This window comes from Homo sapiens, chromosome 5, assembly GCF_000001405.40.
Source record: "Homo sapiens chromosome 5, GRCh38.p14 Primary Assembly".
NCBI classification, from domain to species: Eukaryota; Metazoa; Chordata; class Mammalia; order Primates; family Hominidae; genus Homo; species Homo sapiens.
The window spans coordinates 35,178,225-35,202,303 of NC_000005.10; the positions used below are offsets into that span (position 1 = coordinate 35,178,225).

The 24,079-nt window shown below is 43.6% G+C and overlaps 1 protein-coding gene across 6 annotated transcripts in view; it reads right to left on the bottom strand.

Annotated features, from left to right (window-relative positions):
• Positions 1-24,079, bottom strand: part of PRLR (prolactin receptor) — a 181,732-nt gene that overhangs the window by 129,469 nt on the left and 28,184 nt on the right. For 3 of the 6 annotated variants that reach the window (XM_047417388.1, XM_011514068.3, XM_047417390.1), the window contains exon 1: positions 17,327-17,460. The exons of 2 other annotated variants lie outside the window; for them this stretch is intronic. The gene's annotated coding sequence lies outside the window, so the exon portion shown is untranslated. Of the gene's footprint in view, positions 1-16,878; positions 17,022-17,326; positions 17,461-24,079 lie in introns of those variants that run through there. One more of the 6 variants, XM_006714484.3, reaches the window with a different exon arrangement.

The window sequence follows — 24,079 nt, forward strand, 5'->3', positions numbered from 1 at the left end:
CTAGGCCTTCAGGAAAGATGATTTAAGAAGTATTTCTACACACAGTAGATCTTCTTTGTCTTCTCACTTGCTCTTAGGAGCTGAGTATACTTGACTCTTATGTGTCATATACATATACTGAGTATCGGCAGTTTGCTCTGTAATTTACATGATTCATAGGGACTGAAGATAGACATATGGCCTATGAAGCAACTAGCTTGTAATCAGAATACACACTGGTAGAATTTGTCTGCGTGTAGAGAACTGCAAAATGTACACTGTATGTTCCTATAGAAACATTATAGGGAAGAGATGGTTGGGTTAACGGTATTAGTTATTACACTGTCTGCCATTACATAAAATGTAATGAACAGATGAAAACTAGCAAAGTTTGCTCTATGATAAATTTAGTATAACTGAGTCCCATTACCTCACTGAATTACGAAATGGAAGTATAGTCTGTTAGAGAAGATTTCTGTCTGTGAATAAATCAAAACCACATTTTAACAATGCACCAAACCTTTTTAGAAATACCATATTTTTTAAAAGTTATATTTATGAAAAAAGTCACAAAGTACTATCAATATTAATATACTAGTTAAGTAAAAATTTAACAAAAAAGTGCAAATATAATCCAGTCCTGGAAATTCTATCTGTGTAAATACAGATCTCACTTTTCTTGAAGTTTTGAGATAGGATTTCTTAAAGTGTTTGTAACCTGGCTAAAGTTTTCAGGAATGGACATCTCCTCATGATGTCATAGGCACTTCTGAGACCTTTAGAGTGACTTTTTAACCTTCCTTAACATAAATTCTTTTGTTGATTTTCACTATCCTCACAACAAAGGTCTCAAGGCTCTCTACACCTAAGGAGCCCTATCCCTCACAGAATCCCAACTACTCCTGATCTCAACCACATACCTCTTCATCTCACTACATACAGGCTGATCTCAAAATCTCTCCAGTTTTGAGAGAGAAAAACACCAATCCACACAGAAATGTGCCCACAGTGTCTAGCACATAGTGAGGGATCTGCAAATGTTTGCTGGGCAAATAAAAGGATATATTTGCCACGCGAAGCCTTGTTTCCTGTCTTGATTCATCTGTTCATCCCATCATTAAATATCCATATCTAAAAATTTTGCCCACCTGTCAGTATTTACTTTCTTTCTGTAGCTTCATCCATGCTGTAATTTTTTACTGATTGCTAGCTACAGGCCACGCGAATAAGGCAGTTGTGGTAATAGATGCGACATGGGCCCTGCTCTCATGAAGCTCCCAATTCAGCATGGTGGGACAACAATAAGCAAGTGAGCAGGTACATTACTACCTGTGCCTCATTGCGAGTGCTCAGTGGGTCACACAGTGACTTGATAACAGCACCTCTCTATGTTCCTCATACATATGACATTTGACATTTATTGCCTATCACACTGTACAGTTATTTAATTGCTTTTATGAAGGTATTGATATAGTTTGGATGTGTGTCCCCACCCAAATTTCATGTTGGATTATAATCCCCAGTGTTGGAGGTGGGGCCTGGTGGGAGGTGACTGGATCATGGGTTTGGATTTCTTATGAGTGGTTTAGCACAACAGTTCCCAAAGTTTTTGGCACCAGGGATTGGTTTTGTGGAAGACAATTTTTCCATGGACTGGGACGGGGCAGAGAGGGGGTGGTTTTGGGATGATTCAAGCACATTACATTTATTGTGCACTTTATTTCTATTATTATTACCTTGTAATATTTAATGAAATAATTATACAACTCACCATAATGTAAAATCAGTGGGAGTCCTGAGCTTGCTTTCCTGCAACTAGGCGGTCCCATTTGGGAGTGACGGGAGACAATGACCGATCACCACGCATTATAGTCTCATAAGGAGTGTGCAACCTAGATCCCTCACATGTGCAGTTCACAATAGCGTTTGCACTCCTATGAGAATCTAATGCTGCTGCTGATCTGACAGGAGGCTGAGCTCAGGCAGTAATGAGCGATGGGGAGCAGCTGTAAATACAAATGAAACTTTGCTTGCTTGCCCGCCACTCACCTCCTGCTGTGTGGCCTGGTTTCTAACAGGCCATGGACCAATACTGATCCGTGGCCTGGGGGTTGGGGACCTTGGTTTAGCACCATTCCCTTGGTGCTCTCTTCGTGATAGTGAGTGACTTCTCATGAGATGTAGTTGTTTAAAAGTGTGTGGCACCTTGTTCTCTCTCTCACTCCTGCTTTGGCCATGTGACATACCTGTTGCCCCTTTGCCTTCTGCCATGATTGTAAGTTTCCCGAGGCCTCCACAGAAGCTGAACAGATGCCAGTATCATGCTTCCTGTATAGCCTGCAGAACCGTGAGCCAATTAAACCTCTTTTCTTTTCTTTTCCCCCCTTTTTTTTTTATTATACTTTAAATTCTAGGGTACATCTGCACAACGTGCAGGTTTGTTACACGTGTATACATGTGCCATGTTGGTGTGCTGCACCCATTAACTTGTCATTTACATTAGGTATATCTCCTAATGCTATCCCTCCCCACTCTCCCCACCCCATGACAGGCCCTGGTGTGTGAGGTTCCCCACCCTGTGTCCAAGTGTTCTCATTGTTCAATTCGCACCTATGAGTGAGAACATGCGGTGTTCTGTCCTTGTGATAGTTTGCTCAGAATGATGGTTTCCAGCTTCATCCACCTCTTTTTTTAATAAATTACCCAGTCTCAGATATTTCTTTATAGCACTGTGAGGATGGCCTAATACAGGTATGGATCTCCTACCTTCTCAATTCAAGATTGAAAGTGTTTTTGAAAGCAGTTGTACATAGTAGGTATTTAAACATATATTGGTCATTAGTATGTCCTTGAGTAAAAGTAATGAGCAGCACATTTAGTCCTAAAATGGCCAATTCTCAAGGCTCTGTGCAAATGGAAATTTGTCCTCATAGCTTCCTGGTATGTATAGTTAAATATCTAGCAACCAGCTAACCTCTGCTGACTTTACATTGGAATTCCACTAGCCATTCAATTTATTTAACCAAGGATAATCTCATTAGGGGTTAAAACTTATCAGAATCATGCTTAATAATCCTGGCATTGTTTTACATTAACTAGGCATTAGAGTTTAGCTCTTAGTCTAAAGAAGGGTGAGCCACATGTTGCAGGTGAAGTAAAAGGGAGAGAAGAATGATTTGGAACCCTTAATTTCAATAAGGTTATGGGGAGAGGTGCTGTGTGCTTATATTAATTTTGAATTATATCATGTGTCCATTAAGTTCAGAAACATTTCTAGGTAGATGTCTATTAAGTGAGAGCTGCCACTCAGACTACGTTATTCTTTTAGAAGAGTCCTTCTTCATCCCTTAATAGACTTAATAACACAATTTGCCATATCCAATTTTCATAACATCAGAACTCATTTACAGATTAACTGCAATTCTTTGTGAAGTAAGGCATAAAGAGGAGGCTAAAATAATTTAGCCCAGCAAATCCCTTTTTTATGATTAATGGGAATAGATCCTCAAGCCTTCTTAAGCAGAAAAGGCTCTTAGGAGAGAAATACCTGTGCCAATAACACAGGCTCTATGTGCCTGTGCTTCTAAGTAGAAGTCGTCTGGGTTGCTTTCCTCCTTGGTCCACACAAATGTGAATGTTTCTCCAGGTTCTTCTGGAGACATGATTCCAGTAGTCCTGATAGCTGTTTGGAGGTCTTCAACTGTTGTTAGGTAGAGTTGGCCAATTATCACACATGATTGAGTGTGTACTTTAAGGATATTGTACTACCTCAAACTCATGACTACCAACTCCCACTGCATTTGTTGATGATTTTTTTTTTTACATGAGAAAGACTAACATGTTGGTCCACGGTCTCATGACAAACAAGGGGCTTTGATGGTACTCTGACCAGATCAGTACTTAGAGTCTTCCAGACAAATGAAACCTTTGTGAAGAGAATTTTGCTAAATTTAACCACCATCTATATATGTGCTAGGTCAAATAAGGAACAACTCATAATGGCTGACCTAAAGAAACTGAGGCACTGATTCTACCTGAGCCTAAATCCCAGAGTTAGGTGGCCAAATAGTGCCTCTTCCAGTGAAATGTTACTGCCGACAAAAATATTTTCCCCTCTGTAAATTGTGATGTAGCGTTCTATATAGCAGATAGATTTCCACACAGATAGATTTGACTGTTAGTGTTATAAACAAGAGAAGGAAGGAACAACAGAGAAAGAAGCAATAAAGAAGAAGGCAATCAGAAGAAGCAATTTCATCTTAAACTTAAACTACCATCCAGAGTAGTCTATGGTCTTGTATTTACTGGGAGCATGAAATAAGCTCATTCTGTCATATGCAGTTGATCATTTAGCACTGGGATGGAGCTGCTTTATTTCACACAGAAACAAAGGACTGGAAAACATTTTGCTCAACAGCAGGAGGCCTTTGCTGTTTCCACAGTGATAGATTTCATTTAGATAATTGAGCAGGTGGGATCTCAAGGGCTGAAAAGTGAAGTCTTAAATAAGTGAGGGAATCTGTCCAAGTTCACAGAATCTAAGAAGGGCAGAGGCAGGATTTAAACCCCTGTGGGCTCAGATTCCACAAACCACGCTCTTAACCTCACTGGGCACTGCCTTTGGGATACAATGATCTCTCAGAAGTATTTTTAAATTATACTGCAACCTTGTTAGCATTCCTGTTTCTCAGATTTTCCATATATGAAACAGTTAATGTGGGAAATAATAGTTTGTGGAATACAGACACCATAAACACACTCTTCTTGTTTACCCACTTTTAAACAATTATAAAACCATGCTCATAGTTAGCAACAACCTGAGACGTTCTCTAGCCCCTCTCCCACCCAAGGAAAAGAATTCCCTCTTCAACTGGAAGTTGCGACACCTACTTCTAGCCGTGGTGTGAACACATCAAATGCGGAGTAGGCACTACCCTGCCAAGTGTCCACTCACTGCAGAGAGCTCCAATTGCTAGAAAAACCCGGCCACCTTATAAGCTCATTTCACTGCTCCTAGTTTTGTCATTTGGAGTAAGGAAGAATCTCCTTCTCCTGCTTTCATATGACAGTCCATTAAAGAACAGACAGTCACCACGTTCCTCTGAGAATTTCTCTTCTACAGGAAACAACATGTAATTAGTTGTCACATTCTCTGGTTTCATCAGTCTGTTTCCTTGTCGCCCCCCAATGGACACCCAGTGAGTTGCCAATGTCTCTTGTCAAAGGTATTAAGACATCACAGAACTGGGTACAGGGCTCTTGATATATCCTGGCCTTAAGTCTCAGGTTCTCCAACAAAGCTGGCAGCCTGTGGTATGCCTTCTGGGGCCAGAGAGTGTGGCATGATCCGAGGTCCTGAGTCTCTCTCTCAATGAGCCCATCATATTGGCTTAACCAAAGCCAGTGGTCTTCAGGACACGGAAAAGGGAGTCCCTTAGGCTCCAGGTTTTTTTCCCTTCAGTTCACACTGGGAGAAGGGTCACAGAGCTCCAGTGAAATCTGGTCCTGTTAGATCATTTGTGGTTGGCTGCAGATGCACATGTGGGCATGTGATAGTTTTGATTTAGATAAAAAGCCCACAACTGAGTGGAGTGTTGAAACCTCAGGGTTATAGACTGGTGTATCTGTGAGAAAACCACAACAAGTATGGTATTTGAAGGACCCTAACATTTTCTTTTGCCAAGTTATTCATTCAGAGCCTAAAAGTTTTCAAAGTATTGTCCCCAACTGAAAGAAACCCTGTGATAACTTGAATTTATTTGTATAGAAGTAACTCTACAGTCGATCAGACTAGATGTCAAATGACCATCTCTACTTAGGGTCTGAATTCCAAGGCATCAGAAAGTTTGCCCTTACCTATAAGACCTTGCTCTTTTAGATTCCTGGGATGATATAAAGAATTCCTGATAATTGGAATAACTGGAATTCCTGATAATTGAGATTCATGATAGTTGGCTGATTAAAAGGTTATCCTCAGAAGAGTATTTGAATTTAAGTGGGAGACCCTTAAGCTTTCAAGATAAAAACTGGCCAGGCACGGTGGCTCACGTCTGTAATCCTAGCACTCTGGGAGGCTGAGGTGGGAGGATTGCCTGAGCTCAGGAGTTTGAGACCAGCCTGGGCAACACGGTGAAACCCCATTTCTACTAAAATACAAAACATTAGCCAGGTGTGGTGGCATGCCCCTGTAGCCCCAGCTACTCGGTAGGCTGAGGCAGGAGAATTGCTTGATCCCGGGAGGAAGAGGTTGCAGCAGTGAGCCGAGATTGAGCCACTGCACTCCAGCCTAGGCGACAGAGTGAGACTCCATCTTATAAAACAAAAGAAAGAAACAAACAAAAAACAAAATAATAACAACCAACCAGACAATCCTACTCAACTAGAATGACTGAATCAGGCATGTGCATGGGATCCATTGCACCACATGGACCCTCGCCTGTTGTGTCTACCTGTAAGGTCAACTCTGCCTGTTTCTTATCCTCTTCCCCTCCTCACAGGGAATGATTCTACTTGGCCAAAGCAGGGACTCACCAAAGCTGTAGGTAAGATGAGGTGGTAGACTTCTAAGCATTTTACATGTGTTTATGCAATCTTTCAAATAACACAAGTATCCACAAGGCAGCTGTGAAGTCACCTGACTGTTACACATGAGGAAAAGGGGTAGTTAAGTTTAGCATAGTGCCACACATATAGTAAATGCTCAACAAATATAGGTGTTACTGGTTTAGAATGATAATATTTTGGCATGACTTAAGCCAAAGTCCACCTCTAGATTATAGCAACAAAGGAAAGTTTTGTTTTGCATAAACACAGTTTCAACCGCTGGAAGGACTTTAGAAAAACAACTTGTAGGACATTGTGAAGCATCCTTTAGCTTTCAGCTCTCCTTGGGCAGGAAGCCCACAGACCAGTGAGTCTTTAGTTTTGCTCTCTAGGCTTGGCCCTTCTCTTCATTTCTGATGCTTCGTCCATACACTGAGAAGGACCAATTTCCATATTCTTCCATCTAAATTCCAGAATGTGTTAATTTCATAGTGGGTATATGTAGCCAGTAGATCAAGTCTCCTAAGAGCTTACCATTATTTAGAGTTATTTTATACAAGGAATGAAATTCTCTTTATTCCACAAGTCTGGCCAGATGACCCCAGTCCCTTCTAAGGTAGTATGCTTTTATTCTCCCCAAACACCTGTTTGATTGAGATGTCAAATAGGAAAGGTAAGTTTCCTAAAAAAAAAAAGCTTCCAAATGAGTTCCCTGAGGTTCTAGGCTTGGGCCTTTTCTAACTAAAATTATGGGCCCAGGGTTTGTGTATCTATCTGTCTGGGGTCCTGAGGAGGAACCCAGTGGGGACAAAAATCCCCATGGCAACGTACTTCTAAAAAACACAGGAGCCTTACAGCAAGACCTAGCTCTGGTTCACTGTGAATTTGCTAATAATTAACTCTAGATCTCTGAGCAGGAACAGTCACATTAGTAGAAGGCAGGAATTCTATCTATACACACAAACTGCTGAGAATTACAGGTGGAGGCCTACTAGGAAATAGAGCAGGTTTCACCAGCCTTGACTAGGTGTCTTTGTCTGAGACCAGCCCATTGATTGCTTGTGGGGAGGGAGTCCGTAGGAGGGAGAGAGTCGTGATTGTATTCTGTGGCGTCTCTTTCTGTTCAGACTATGGGGAGCAAGATAAAAGTGTTCCCAACCATATTAGTGTTCTCTGATTCGTCGAATGTCGGGGTGGAACGGGACCTGAGAGACCATGGACCTCAAAACACCCACTGAGCCTTGCTGGGCTCATCTATCTAGGAGACAGTCGCCATATATGGATCTACAGCCTTTAAGTGCACACTGGGCACGGGATGTACCACATAGACCCTCGCCTATTGCACCACATTGAGGTGCACTGTCAGAGTGAAATACACACTGAGTATCAAAGACTTTGTATGAAAAAGGGAATGGAAAATATCTCACTAATAACTATATTATCACACATTGAAAGGACAATATTTGGGATATATTGAAACAAATAAGATCTATTAAAATGAATTGCACTGGTTTCTTTAAAAAAATTTTTTTTTGCTAGAAAATATAAAGTTACATTTGTAGCTTACATGCTATTTCTATTGGGTGTGCTGTTGTAACAAGTACACATTCCCTCTCCTCGAGGTTGTCCCTCAGCATGACGCTGACTGATGTTCATCAAGACTTACTGTCACACTGGCTAGTGCTGCCAAGCCATCTAGACTACAACTTATTCTAGATTCACCCTGGAGAGATCTTAGAGGGCATATCTTCTTCACCCAGAGAAGGCATTTATGCCTTATTGAGGCCTCAGTTTACCCAGAGGAAACAGCTCTTCCCTATGACCCTGAGAGGTGCTGGTGCTACTCAAGGCACCTGTGTTCTGGTGCACCTGGCCCTTTAACTAAAAGATAATGGGGCAAAGGAGAGGGTGGGGAGCAAGTGTAAATACCTCATTGTGGAGCAGAGGCAGCTACCACCCCATCTGAGCTAGGGTGGCCCTGGCTAACTCATTTTGCTCCACCCTTGATTAAGCAGATTTTTACAATGTTCTTGCTTAAAAATCTATTTGATTCACTGAAAAGTAGTTATAAGTGGTTACACTAGGAAGATGAATACTACTCTTCTGCACCCCGCTGTGTGATAAACCTGCCTGCCCTCAAGAAGCAGATCCTGGCTCTTGCTGGGTGGGGTTGGTGCCAGCCTACACTAGAGCACCCGCGGTGGCATGTGGCTAGGATTATCAAAGGGAGATTGGAGGCAGCTGGTGTGTACCAGGAAGCGCACCAAACCAGCAAAGTTCTGGCCCCTCTATTCAGTAGCTGCAGGATCCTGGGCAAGCCGGTCTCCTGATCAGTAAAATGGGTATAAGAGTGCCTACTTCAGAAGGGTGCTGGTCAGGCATGGTGGCTTACACCTGTGATCCCAGCACTTTGGGAGGTTGAGGCACGTGGACCACTTGAGGTCAGGAGTTTGAGACCAGTCTGGCCAACATGGTGAAACCCCATCTTTACTAAAAATACAAAAATTAACCAGGCTTCATGGTGCATGCCTGTATTCCCAGCTACTAGGGAGGCTGAGGCTGAAGAATAGCTTGAACCCTGGAGGCAGAGGTTGTAGTGAGCCGAGATCACGCCACTGCACTCCAGCCTGGGTGACAGAGAGAAACTCCGTTTAAAAAAAAAAAAAAGAAGAAGAAGGTTGTTATGGGGAGTAAATGTGAGAATTCTAACACTATCAACAGATGAGAGCTCACTATTACTGATAAAATGTGTCCCAGGTGGGAGTCAAGACGCCAGAGTTCTAGGTTCTTTGCCCCTCATTTAGCTCTATGGCTGGGTGCAAGCCCCTGACCTCTTCAGCCTTAGGTTCCTTATCTACAAAATGGATTATGAAGATTCCTCTCAGTGTGAAGAGTTCATGATTTCCATGACCCCAAGCCCTTCAAATAATAGTGAAAATCAAGGAAACTGAGCCCAGAAAGGTCAAACCACTTGTCTGAAGCCGCATAGCTTTGGGGCAGCAGGATCAGAGTAGACATCCTGCTTCCCAGTCCAGGGTTTTCCTGCTGGAGCACAGGAGCCTCCCTGTTTACCCAGTGAAATGAGATGCAGGAATTCAAGAGGCAAGAGGGAGAGAGCCCCATTGCCTTGGACTTGGAGGTAAGGGAGTCCATGCTTCTGAGGTGAGTCGGTCAGCGGCAAAGTCAGCCCCATCAAAATCTCTCTGTGGACACAAATTCTTCTGGTATCTCCCTCAACTGTTAACTGCATATCCCCAATCATTTTCCCTTGGCAGCTCAATTTAACTTTGGCCTATTGTGTCAGCAACCTTTTTTGTCAGGCAGGTGCTGTCTCCTTAATCTCCTGCTACTGCAGTCACCTGGGGCAGCCACCCAGCTCCGTCAGGAACTTGCTAGGAAGAAACTAGCCGTGCCTGGAAAGTCGGGCTTTTCGAGTTCAGCTCTTGCTAATTTCAGCAGCTTGCCTTCTGATATTTTATTCCTCTTTACCTGGAATTCATTTTGGGCCATCTGATTTGTTTAATCATCACATAAAAGATCAACATACCTTATTTATTTTTTAAAGGACTGATTCTAATCGGTGAGCAAACACTTTTACACTCGTCAGCTGCTCCTTGGGCAGCCTGGGATCAGCCCACGTTGCACATTCTCTAAGAAGCTTTGTCTCCAAAGCTTAGCGTGAAGGCTCTGCTTCAGCCCACTGAGTGAGCGACAGACATGGAGAAGTTTGCTTTTGTGAGCTCATCAGGACAAGACCTTCATTGGTTCCCCTTTAAAAGAAATGGCAGTTGTTTTTCCCTGGTTGGGGCGACTTGCATGGTTCTGTGTACACAGCTTGGAGAACGGGAAAGAAAAATCAGAACCCACAGTATCTACTCCTTGCACCTTTTAGCTAGGAGTATTATTCAAAATATTTACCTGGTATGGCTTAAGCCCTGACCAACCAAAAAAGATAGAAGATGTAAATTACTGGCGAGGCCACACTAATACAAACCGGTGGAATCTCAATGCCGTCCACTGTCCTGGGAGCTTTTTATTTATACCCAGCATAATGTAACGTTTACTGAGAGCTTTCTGAATGTCAGACACTGTTTTAAATGCTTTCCAGGAGTTAACTCATTTACTTACTGTTGAAAACTTTATTAGGTAATGTTTGGGTTGAATTGTGCCCTCCCACCCCAAATTCATACGTTGAAATCCCAACACCCAGGACCTCAGAACGTGGTGTTTTTTGGAAGTAGGGTTATTGCAGATATAATTAGTTGAGATGAGATTATGAGGGTGAGCCCTATTTCAATATGATTGGTGCTCTTATAAAAAGGGGAAATTTGGACACAGATACATGCATGCAGGGGCAGCACCACACAACGATGAAAGCAGAGATCGATGGTGCTTCTGCAAGCCAAGTAACACTAAGGATGACCAGCACACCACCAGAAGCTAGCAGACAGCCATGGCACAGATTCTTCCTCACAGTACCAGAAGAGATCCAACCCTGCTAACCGACACTATGCTTTCAGATTTCTGAAAGCACCTACTTCAGAAGGGTGCTGGTCAGGCATGGTGGCTTACACCTGTGATCCCAGCACTTTGGGAGGTTGAGGCACGTGGACCACTTGAGGTCAGGAGTTTGAGACCAGTCTGGCCAACATGGCAAAACCCCATCCTTACTAAAAATACAAAAATTAACCAGGCGCCATGGTGCATGCCTGTATTCCCAGCTACTAGGGAGGCTGAGGCTGAAGAATAGCTTGAACCCGGGAGGCAGAGGTTGTAGTGAGCTGAGATCGTGCCACTGCACTCCAGCCTGGGTGACAGAGAGAAACTCCGTTTAAAAAAAAAAAAAAGAAAGTTGTTATGGGGAGTAAATGTGAGAATTCTAACACTATCAACAGATGAGAGTTCACTATTACTGATAAAATGTGTCCCAGGTGGGAGTCAAGACGCCGGAGTTCTAGGTTCTTTGCACCTCATTTAGCTCTATGACTGGGTGCAAGCCCCTGACCTCTTCAGCCTTAGGTTCGTTATCTACAAAATGGATTATGAAGATTCCTCTCAGTGTGAAGAGTTCATGATTTCCATGACCCCAAGCCCTTCAAATAATAGTGAAAATCAAGGAAACTGAGCCCAGAAAGGTCAAACCACTTGTCTAAAGCCGCACAGCTTTGGGGCAGCAGGATCAGAGTAGACATCCTGCTTCCCAGTCCAGGGTTTTCCTGCTGGAGCACAGGAGCCTCCCTGTTTACCCAGTGAAATGAGATGCAGGAATTCAAGAGGCAAGAGGGAGAGAGCCCCATTGCCTTGGACTTGGAGGTAAGGGAGTCCATGCTTCTGAGGTGAGTCGGCTTCCAGCACTATGAGACAACACATTTCTGTTGTTTAAGCCACCCAGTTGTGGTACTTTGTTATGGCAGCCCCAGCAAACCAGTACAGGGGGACAATATAATTATCCCATTTTACATGTGGAAACCAAGGCACAAAGAGATTAAGTTCTTCCCCAATGCCCCACAGCGAACACTTAGCAGGCAGTTTGCTCCAGAATGTGCCCTCTTAACTACAGTACTAAAAATAATTCTGGCTGGGCATGGTGGCTCACACCTGTAATCCCAGCACTTCGGAAGGCTGATGCGAGTGGATCGCTTGAGGTCAGGAGTTCAAGACCAGCCTGGCCAACGTGGCAAAACCCTGTCTCTACTAAAAATACAAAAATTAGCTGGGCATAGTGGCAGGTGCCTGTAATCCTAGCTACTCGGAAGTCTGAGGCAGGAGAATCGCTAGAACTGGGGAGATGGAGGTTGCAGTGAGCCGAGATTGTGAGATTGTGCCACTGCACTCCAGCATGGGTGACAGACTGAGACTTTGCCTCAGGAAAAAAAAAAAAAGTTCTGCTTTGGCCTAAGCAATCAGTTGCTTTTTCGTTGAAACAATTTTTAATTTCAACATAATCCTATCATAATCAGAAAAGAATAAGTGTACACTTTAGGGGTGAATGATCTTTCCCTACTGAGCCCATCTTATTCTGCTGCACTGTGCTAGAGCATCTTGACCACTGTGTATCTACTTATAACCAAAGACAAATCTTCTTTCCAACAGAGGCTCTGGGGAAGAGCCACACAGACAGGTCCTTGAACCTGGTAATGAGCAAATACTATAAGGAAGCTGGTAGGGTTATAGACACACAGTGAGCTTTTATCAGGAGGAAATATTTACATAATGGGGATTTTATACTATGATGACCAAAACAAAGCCCCTACAGACATTGACCACACAGAAATGATCCAATTAACAGATGTGTTATTTTCTTTTTTTTTTTTTTTTTTTTTTTTTTTTTTTTTTTTTTTTGAGACGGAGTCTCGCTCTGTCGCCCAGGCTGGAGTGCAGTGGCGCAATCTCGGCTCACTGCAAGCTCCGCCTCCCGGGTTCACGCCATTCTCCTGCCTCAGCCTCCCAAGTAGCTGGGACTACAGGCGCCCGCCACTACGCCCGGCTAATTTTTTGTATTTTTAGTAGAGACGGGGTTTCACCGTTTTAGCCGGGATGGTCTCGATCTCCTGACCTCGTGATCCGCCCGCCTCGGCCTCCCAAAGTGCTGGGATTACAGGCGTGAGCCACCGCGCCCGGCCCAGATGTGTTATTTTCAAGAAACCTCTCTCCCCAGCCTGCCTTCCCCTTGAACAGGAAGTCTGAGGTGGCCAGGTGTGCAGGGAGAAAGGGACTTCTGAGGAACATCATTTCTAGCCTATTTTATTATAACAGCGTCCTAAGTGTTCTCCATGTCATCTGTCTTGTCCCCTCCAAACTGCTCTGCAGATTTCAGCCAGAACTTTCCTTCTGCTAATGCAGATCTAATCATACATCTCTCCTGCCAACAGACCTTCCATAGTTCTTCTTAGCCTCAGCCTTGTTACCTGGCCTCAAAGACCATCTTTAGAAATTCTGTTCTGGTTAGCACTCAAATAACAGACACCCGAAGAAAACAGATTCTTGTGAGACACAGACACTGTATCTTTCATATAGAAAGGTTTGGATACAGAGATTTGGCTCTGCCCCCCACCACGGGTCTCACTTCTCCCTAGGCTGCACCCTTACGATTTCAGCTACTTGAATCCCAGTTTTCCAGTGACCACCAGGCTTCCTCAGTGCCTTTGCTCTTGCAGTGGGCTTCTTCTGCCAGGAACATGCTACCCAGAACTCTTCTCCTTCCATCTCTACCTTCAAGTTCAGGAATCAAGTCCAGAGGAATTCTTTCTAGATCCGCCCAGTTGGGTTCCAGGCCCTCTCATGCAGGCCGTGGTCCAAGTGTCCCTCAGGACCATGGACTTCATCACGCTTGACATGACCATCATTGGTCCATGTGCCTGTCGTGTCCACATACTTCTTGGGGACAAGGGGTATGTTTCATTCATCTTTGTATTGCCAAGACCTACTCTGTTACATAATTGGTGCTCAATTCCAATGTTGAGAGAATATATGAGTGAACGAATGACACATAGTTCAACATTACAAACAATTAGGGCAGAGCTCTATGCTCTGTCATGAGCATCTGTTCTTTAATGTCCCTGGAAATTCAGGGCTCCTTGTGAATGAGCTAGTGCCATCCTCAGCTCTGTGCCCTCCTCTCTCCCCCACCTCTTAATTCTCTAAGGACTCCAGCATATTTAAATGTGCTCCAATGTCTATGGCTGAAAAGTACCCACCAGTGTGGGTAGAAAGAAAGCGTGTAGGGTAAGATAAAAGGAGCTAAGCCTAAAAAGGGTTCTGGAAAGTCAGGGAGAAAAAGTGTGAATGGGAGGATTTGGGAGGTGTGAGAGTCACATTCCCAGACAGAGGAACACAGTCCAGAGCTTTCTCTTCTCTTTCTCTCCACTACTACCAAATGCTGGATGTTGCCCTGAATATTCAGGACCAGTCCCTTCCATGTAGCACAAATGAACAAGAAAATAAGATGGGAATTCTGTTTTGGTTAGCTGCCAAATAGCAGATGCCCCAAGAAAACAGATTCTTGTGAGACACAGATGCTGTATCTTTCACATAGAAAGTTTTGGATACGGAAAGCTTAATGGTAGGAATTCTGCTTTTATTTGGGGTCCTCTGTGTGGAAGAACTGCCCTGAAGACATCCAGGTACAGCAGAAGCAGCCAGATGCTGCTGCATTAGGAAAGGCCAGCTGTCCCCAAGACTGATGCTGTGCTGAGATCTGAGTGTGGTTTTTTCCTGCTTGCATTTGCAGTTACATGGAACTCGCTGGGCCACTTCTTGTGGTTTGAAGAGTCTGAGCCTGGCACATTAGGAGCAACAGAGTCACCATGGGGCCCTTCTCCCTGTGGACATATCCTTCTTCTTCAGAGATGCCATTTAGGAGACTTCGAAGTGGCAAGGCAGCTATTCCTTGCCCAACCACTGCCCCCATCTCTACCATCTGTGTCTGTGTATAGTGACCCTCAACTCCCGTAGTTATGCAACAGCAGTGGGGACAAGGAGCAAAATATATGTCTCTAGATAAGCCCCACACTGAAAAATAGCCTTTGAGCAAAGCAGCCCCCAAGTTCTTTCCCTTAGGTAAGAAATTCTCAAGAGCTCTCTACCCTTGTACTGACTGTGTAACTCATGTGAGCACAAACACGGGTAAGATATGAACAGATCCAAAGCAAAGCACTCTATCATCTTACTGGGTTCATTCTCTGTCTTCATTTCATCCAGAGAAAGTAAAATGGACACCATGCCTTGGGAGGACTTGATTTTAAGCAGTGATGTTGCACCAAGACACAGGTCTGGCTGATAAGCTCTCTTGCTTGGAGGGCACCACTGAGCTAGGAAATTCTGACTGGCAGGTTCCTATTGGTCCTGCAATCTTTAGGTGAATTGTCAGACCCTCTGAGAGCTACCCCCTACCACCCAGATTGCTGTACCCCTTAGGCTGGGTTCTCACATCAGTGCATGGGAGCTACTGCTATTGTTGCACAGATGTTCTCTCCGAACATCTGGAGGGCACAGCTGCCGCATCATCCTCTCACAGCTATTTCTTAGCACCCAAATCACCCTGCTTGCTCTTCTTGTCCCATAGAGGTCATATGGGCTAATTCTGATGCCTTGTGATTGGGTTGAAAGACGAGTGCATGGAGAGCTGGATTCTTACTCTGAGGCAAGAATGCCTTTTTTTAAACTGGCATGTTAGATTGGCATGCATCTCCTTTGGTTTTTCTGCTTCCCTGCAGCACGGCTCTGGTTCTGTCCACGGAGCATCTCCCAAGCCAGGCAGAGATGGTGGCAAAGTGGTGAATTCCTGGCTCAGGAGGTGTGTGTCAGGCAAGCTTGATGCTGCCCCGTGGCATGGAGGGTTCAAATAAGCAACCAGCTCACAACTGCCCGAGATGACTGGCTCAGGGGCTGCTAGGCCATTTGTCTTCTGGTGTCTGGGAGAACTTGCTTTTTTAGAAGAGACTTTGAAGGTTTCATTGGTGTAATAAATATTTATTAGATGCCTACAAAGTGCTGGGCTCTCAGGATGAAGCTGACATGGTTCCTGCCCTCATGACCTCATGACACTCTGTCTATAAAATCAGGAAAGGCCTGGTGCAGGTCAGTGAGGGGCTGCCTCTCTCACTGAGCGTTGGTTACAAGGCCCTGCCTTACCCCAGGTTAGGCCTCTGTGCCTATCTCTCTAGCTTGTTTTTCCACTTCTCCAAAACCTTCCTGCTCTTGCTTCTATCTTGTCCTGTGTTCCTTGCAGTTTTCCCTTCATCCACCCTTTCCATTGCTTCTGCCTTCTATCTTGCTGGAAAGTCTGCCCAAATGGATAAACAGACTACAGTACATCCATACAATGGAGTATCACTCAGTGCTAAAACGGAGAGAAGCTACCAAGCCCTGGAAAAACATGGAGGAAGCTTAAAAGCATATTGCTAAGTGAAAGAAGCAGTCAGAAAAGACTACATTCTGCATGATTCTGACTACATGACATTTCAGAAAAGACACAAGTATAGAGACAGTAAAAAGATCAGCAGTTGTCAGAGATTTGCAGGAAGGAAGGGAGGGTGATTTTTAGGGAAGTGAAACTATTCTGTATGATACTGTAATGATAGATACAGGTCATTATACATTTGTTAAAACTCATAGAACCATACGACCCAAAAAGTAAACCCTAATGTAAACTCTGGACTTGTTAGTTAATAATGATATATCAACATCGGTTCATCATGATAAACATACCACACGAACATAAGATGTTATTAATAGAAGAAACTCTGTGGGGGAAAACGGGTATGTGGGAACTGTCTGTACTTTCTGTTCAATTTTTCTGTAAGCCTAAGACTGCTGCAAAAAATGAAGTTTGTTAAAAAAATCATCTCAACTCACCCTGATGTCACCCTGGCACAGGCTGTGGCAGCTCTTCAGAGTTCCCTGTCTGGCCTCTCTCTGCCTTCCAGTGCGATCTAGAGATGTTCTCAGCTCCATGCCAAAGCAGCCTCCTTGTCTCCCAGTTCACTCCAAGGACTGGTCTGTCATGTGACCGGGCCAGCGTGTTATTGAGCCGCCCTCCTGATCTTCGATCCCATGCCTGAACAACACTGTCTCCCTGGAATTCCTACGGTCTCAAATGAGCCTCGGTGTTGGCCTTTTAAGTTAATACGCTGTCTCCATGCTCATCTCTTATTCAACATGGCCCTGCCCATAAGACCATTTTTACCACCACTGATGCCCCAAACACACCCCACCCCTGCCATTCCCAATCACAGATGAGAAAGATTGAAAGGAGAGAATCAGAACTGACAGCAAAAAGAGGAAGGGGACCTGAGTATCTCACCTGTCGCCTTTGGGCAGCTGGACACCTCACCCACGCTTCAGGCTGGAGCCTTCCTCATCTTTATTAGGTGTCTTAGAGGCAAGTGCCGGAGGTAAATCCTCCTCTGCATTTCCTACACTGACAAGGAGAATGCTGTGGCTCTACGCAGTCATCCTTTTACAACCTGGTGAAAGGTACAGCCTACTGTTAATAATTGATCTGCATATTAAAGTACAGAGTATTTTTGTAGGCAAGGCAATTCCTTGCTGGAAAATGCAAGGATACATTTTGTTTCAGTTGGTTCCAGGGGCTGGAGCTTCGGGTCAGGTGACAACTTGCTCACATGTGTCTATTGGGTTTGGCTGGGAGTAGAAGGGACAGAGAGAGGGCCTCAGTCTTTAACAGGCTCTAAGCAAAAAAATGAAAACGATTTTGAATAAAAATATGAATTCTCAAGTTTCCAGGCAAAGCAGTCCATCAACTCTTATGAAATATCGGCTCTCCCTAAATAAAATAAAATAAAATAAAATAAAATAAAATAAAATAAAATAAAATAAAATAAAATAAAATAAAATAAAATAAAGAGAAATATTGGCAATGATAAAGGCCAGGAGAATGGTTCATTCTGAAACTGTGTTTAGCAGTCCTGTACTAAACCTGCACTCCATGAAAGGCCAAGCTGGCAAGTTTGGACTCAATCCTATAGGCTGTGAAAAGGCAGGGAGGTGACACTAGGCTTTCCAGGCAAGGAGGTGACAAATGTATATGGTAAGGTAAAAGGACAGGGAGTGAAGAGGGAAAATAACACAAAGAAAAAGCAAAGGGAATAAAAAATAGTCCTATTTTATGAAAGGTTCTCATGCATGCACTGTCAGCCTGCTCAGAATCTGGCATCAATAGAGAAGGGTGTGTTTTGGGATCCATAAGGCCAACTAAGACTCTTAAAGGAATTCTCCAAAGCCTGACTCCATCAGCCAGGGGATTAGGAGGAAAACAAACATAGGGCAGGGGACAGGTTTGGACCTTCAATGAGCACAAGCAGGACAAGAAAGTTAGCTAGTAGGAACTGCCTCCTTGGGAAGATTGCTCCTGCAGGAATCCCCCTCCTCTGTCTCCCAGGCTGCTACATGAACATTGCCATGGGCAGGACACTCCAGTGTGTTTGCAAACTGGGCTAGGTGAAGGCTAATCAAGACCTTCCCCGAAGGAATCGTTCTCAGGAGTGTCTTAATCAGTTCAGGCTGCTATAATAAAGTGCTTTAGACGGAGTGGCTTATAAACCACATAACTTAATTTCTCACAGTTCTGGAGGCTGGAAGTCTGAGATCAGGTTGCCAGCATGGTCAGGTTCTGGTTAGGGCTCTTTTCTGGACTGCACACTGCTGACTTCCTGTTGTAACCTCACATGGTGGAAAAAGGTGAGAGAGCTCTCTGGGACCCTTTTGTAAGCGCACTAATCTCATTCATGAAGCCTCCCAAAGGCTCCATTATATTGGGGGTTAGGATTTCAACATATGAATTTTGAGGGGAACACAATATTCAGTCATTTCAGGGTAGAGAGGTGTAGGTTCTTGGAAACCACTTTCTCCTGTCCCCAACTTTTTTATTTTATTTTAATTCTATTTTATTTTTAAATCCAAAGTTTAATCCAATTTGCCGAGGACCTTAGCTATGATGTGGAATCAAAAGTCACAAGTGGGAGAATGGGAAAGTGAGGCCAGATCCACCCGTGTGTTTGGCTATAGGATTTCGGGGAGGTCACAGGCTCATTGGGAGTGTCTGAAACTATGATCGTTTTCTGTTTTTGTTTTTTCTTTCTCTGAATCTTAATCAACTACAGGTTCAACCCCTTTCCTTCTGGCTGCTCCCCCAGGTCTACCCAAGTGCGGGGTTCCCCCTGGGAAGTTTCCCTCATTGCTCAGATCTGGGAGTGACCCCCGATTGGTGCTTAGGTGAATGACTGAAGCTCAGCCAGATGTCATTCTTGCTGGATTTGCACAGGTGCCAGCACTCCTCAGCTCAGCTGCTTCCATCACTCACACTAGTCCTTCCTCCCACCTGTTCAGTCCTTGAGGCTGATATAGTAATTGATGGACCTACAGGCCTAAGTTTGGGTGGAGGCTGAAGATGACCCAATTAACTGGTAGCATCCCCAAGAGAGGACCCTCAGGCTGTGGCTGAGACCCACTCCACAAAGAAGCCTCCCCAACCAGCGACTGCTGCTCAGATCATGCACCTCAGTATAGTCGCTGACTGCAGCAGATCTCTGAGAGGATGAGATTCAGCATTTTCTCCCCACTTGGGTTTGCCACCCTGGATCAGCACCATCCCCTGAGGGCATGCCTTGGACATGCAATTGCATGAGGAGAGGTAAGACTGGCAAGCCCAAGGAGTGATGCCCATCCTGGTTAGAGGGAAAACCGCCTCTGATGGCTGTCCTGACAAAGGCAGGGCAGTCCTGGAGTATTGTGGCATGGATGCCGATGGCACCATTCCTCCAGCCAGTCCAGCCCTTCAATCTCTTTTACAATATCTTTCAGCCTCCCTCAGATTCCCCAGCGACAGGGCAGCATCCTGGGCAGCTCCGTTCTACTTCAGCCATTTGCTAACACTGCTGACACAGTTCATCATCCTTTTGTTGACACCTCAGTGCCGCTCCGACTGCAATGCTGCTGGCAGGAAGATTGAGAAGGCTTGCCCCAGGAAGTCTCCCTTTTCCTACTCCAGCAGTGCTGGCCCTGAGCCCCAGCAGAGTATCGCTTAGCAAAGTCATCTTCCACTTGCCAAAGTAAACAAATGGAGCACTTTATAATAACATGCCCTTGACTCTATGGAGCATTGCCCCAATTCTGAGTGAAGCTGCAAAGCTGAGTGCCTTCTGTGGTTCCCATGGCACTGGACAAAAGGCAAGCTTCTGGGGATGCCTACAGTAGCCTCTGTTTATTTCATTGACTGGATATTGGCATTTCCAGTATCTTCTCTTTGCCTCTCTCTTTCCTCAGATGTAAGAGTCTGAAATCTTGACCTTAGTTTCTTCGCTCTGCTATTTAGCAAACCGGACATTTAATCTTATTTGATCTTATGTGTTGTAGTTTGTGGTTAAGTAGGAGATACCAATCTTCTAAACAGAAAAATATGTTAGCTGCTGAAAGAAATATATATTTTTTTTGTTTCCACCACTTGGTCTTTGTTCTTTTTCTCTCTGCTCCTTTTCCACCACTAGAAAGCACTTAGTGTCTGCTTGGTTTGGGTCATAAAATTGCTCACTTGGACTGTGTTCACAGCAGCTCTGACAGTGTTTCAGCCACATGTCCTCAACTTTCTCTCAGTAAGCTGTTAGCAGATGATCTGCCTACAATGAGAAGCTGAAACCCTCCCTACAGCCAGCTGATCTGCTCTCCGTGAAGCCTTTGCTCTTAAAGGACAACCACAGCATGATTAACAACAGCCAAGTTCAAAGGAGCTGAAGATGGATTTCTGGCTCTCCGGATCCGGCTGCTGAGAAAGCAGGGTCCCTTGGCAGGAAGCTCTTGCAGGGCTTCTCCTCCGAAGCAGGAAAGACTAGGGAAAAATGCATAGAAATGCAGTTCTGAGCTTCTCACCCTCACCAGAAGGTTACAGAGGCTCATGCAGTTCCCAAATCTATGAGCTCTTCTTAATTATAAGGAAATGCTATAGGAGGAATGCAGATCAGCTGAGTGAGAGACAGAATTCGATGCAGGCCCTAGTTCTTTTCTCCCCCTGAGCCAGGCCGTGTAATGCTGTGGACATTTTCAGTTAAGATATTCCAGATGTGGAAGCGGTTAGATTGTGAGATGGACCATACATCTGATCGAAAATCAAATGACATTTTCTGAAAGAAACAGCTGTGATCTACTTTATGATGCTACATGGCTGAGAATATTAATAATTCTCACTCTCTCCTATGATTATGACAGAAATGTTTCCAAGGTGCCATTTTCACAGCTATCAATTTACCTTAAAGGGAGTGAAATGTGGGAGAAATTCTTTAAAAGTTTTTAAAAACACGTCATTCTTCAAAAATTGGAAATTGAAAAAAAAATCATCATCTAAAATATATTTCCCCCTTAAGTTGTACCTTTTATAGTTCTCTAAATAAAATCTGATTATTAAATGAGTACTACAGTAACCACATAACCTACTTGATATCCCCAAATAAAGTGATTGTAAATCTGTAGAGGAGAGGGAAAATTAATAATTTATATATTTCAATTTCCATAACATTTTGTTACTCCCTTATCCTCCATAGATTCCAAATTTGCACCCGAAGGTATTAAAAATTCAAAAATGTATCTATTATCACAACTAAATAGAAACTCAGGACTGAGTGAATATAAGGAAAAAATGCTCTGATAAACTGTCATAAAGAAAAGAGTAGGAAATGGGGTTGATCTCAATCTTGTCCCCTCCAAAGTGTGGGTGTGAGTTTTAGAAAATACAAGATTTCTTTTTTGCCAGCACAGTCCTCCAAGCCTTGAGTGGCTCTGATGATTGCCAAGAAAGAAGAGGTAGTGCTGGACAAAGCCGCACATTGTAACCAGTTGGTTGTGTAGAGCATGTTCTTTCTGGCATGTCTCGCAGAGCCTCATTTCTTCCTTTGTAAACCAGGGATAAAAATACTTCACAGACTTATCTTGTGGTTTAGAAATAATATAGTTAACACGCCTGTCCTATACACCAAGTATCAAAGAGGTGGTTGATAAATGGCAGCTCTCCTGATAATCATGACTTTGGACACAAAAGCAAACCAATTCTATCGTGGCTACATGCTGCCCCAGAACCTGTCCTCTGAAAGCCCTGTTGCTCTAGGATGAGAGAAAGTTGCTAGTCACTCTCAGAATACAAAAACTCTGAGGGCAGACTCAATCTACCTGGTTTGTTGACTGACAAGTGCTTTGTCCAGCAGTCAGTGGGAGGGCTTTCAATTATATATTCTTCGTGAAGGGCACTCTAATTTTACTTAATGTGAAACTGCAACGAAATAGAGATACTTTCATGGATATACTCCCCAAGAACAAGGCTTTTCTTAACCAAGCTGTCCTGGCAGCTGAGGAAGGAGTATGGGATTGAAGGAAGAGCCTAGGGTTTCTGGGTATTGGTATGAGGTGTCAGGACACTAGGGATGTAGTTTCAGTCCTAACACTAAGAATGGTACCATGTCTTTATATAGGGCTTTCCAGGTCAGAGAGACCCTACATACGCCTGGCCTGACTGAATCTTCCCCTGTAAGATATCAGGCCAAATAGCACCAGTCCCATTTTATAAATATCCAACAGTTTAAAGAGTTAACAGACTTTGCGAAGATCACACAGATGAACGGAGGCAGGGTTAGAATTCAAACCCAGATCTTTCCTTTACAGAGTACTTCATCTGCAGATTGTTCATCCTTCTTGCTCAGGACTCTATTCATAAGGCTCTACTTTTTCCTTCCAATTTTTAGTTGTATGGAACTAGAAAATTATTTGGCTTAACACACAAGTTCTGTGGTAAATTCTGTTTCTACCAAGCTGTGTAACTTTGGGCAAGTCACTTAAGCCCCCAGAACCTTAACATCTTCATTAAATGGTGACAATAAAGATAGTACTCAAAATTATGAAGATTAGAAGCAATAATGCATGCAGAGTTGTTATTATGGTATATGCACTGGTTCTAGCCTTTGGAGTAACTCCTCCCCCTCCCCCTTCACAATAAATCTTTGATGTTGAAATTCCAACAAATATTGATGTCTAGTAAGGGATTTGAGGGCTATAGCTTTTAAAACATAGTATATTTGCAAAACCACAACATTCAAGTGATGTTGTGAGAGTACGTTTATTATTTGTGTGTCCAAGGAAAATGATATTTTACCCCTTTGGTAAGTGTAAAGTAAGAAGACAGCCTTAAGGCCTGTTTGGATGTTATGAATATCAATGCATCTAAAGAAACACTTGCAGGACCTGTCTGTCCTGCTGTGACTTCATCCTACATGCCAATGTCTTTTCCATTTTCTCCATGAAGACTTAAAACAAAACAACCAATATTTACCAGGCACATCATAATTCTCTTAGATTTACAGCCATTAACTTGGATAGTAAGCACAATTGCAATCTTTGGAGCATCTCAGAGATCTCGGTCAAATCCTTTAATATTTTTGCAGATACTTTTAGTTCTCTTCTCTTCTCTTCTCCTCTCCTCTTTTCTTCTGTTCTTTTTCTTTCCCTTAATAGGGTGAGGCTGCTTGGTTCCAGATATCTGGTCTCAAATTCCCATAAATTGGTAAAGAAAAAAGTATTTAGAGACAGGATGGGATGAATTCCTTTCACTCCTTGACCCCAAAACCTCTGTTATCATGGATATTAATTTTTCAGTTTCAGACTTGGCAATTTATCAAACCTATTCTGGAAGGGAATCTTTACTCACCAATACCAACGTAAGTAGAATGCAGACAAATGCATAAAGACCTCTAGATAAAGAGAGGCTAAATTGTTGTAGTTAGGACTAGTGACTCTGGAGCCAAATTGTCTGGGATCACCTAACTAGCTGTGTGACCTTGGACAAGTTACTCAAGTTCTTTATACTTCAGTTTCCTTATCTGTGAGATGGAGATGATAATAAGAGAACCTACCAATTGCTTCTTACAGGAAATTTACATATTTCCATTGAGAGATCTTTGATCAAATTCAGTGTGGTGTCCACTAGCATTTGGAAGGATAAGTGCAATCTAGCAGAGAAAAAACATGACCTTTGAGTCAAGAGACCTGAGTCAAGTCCTCT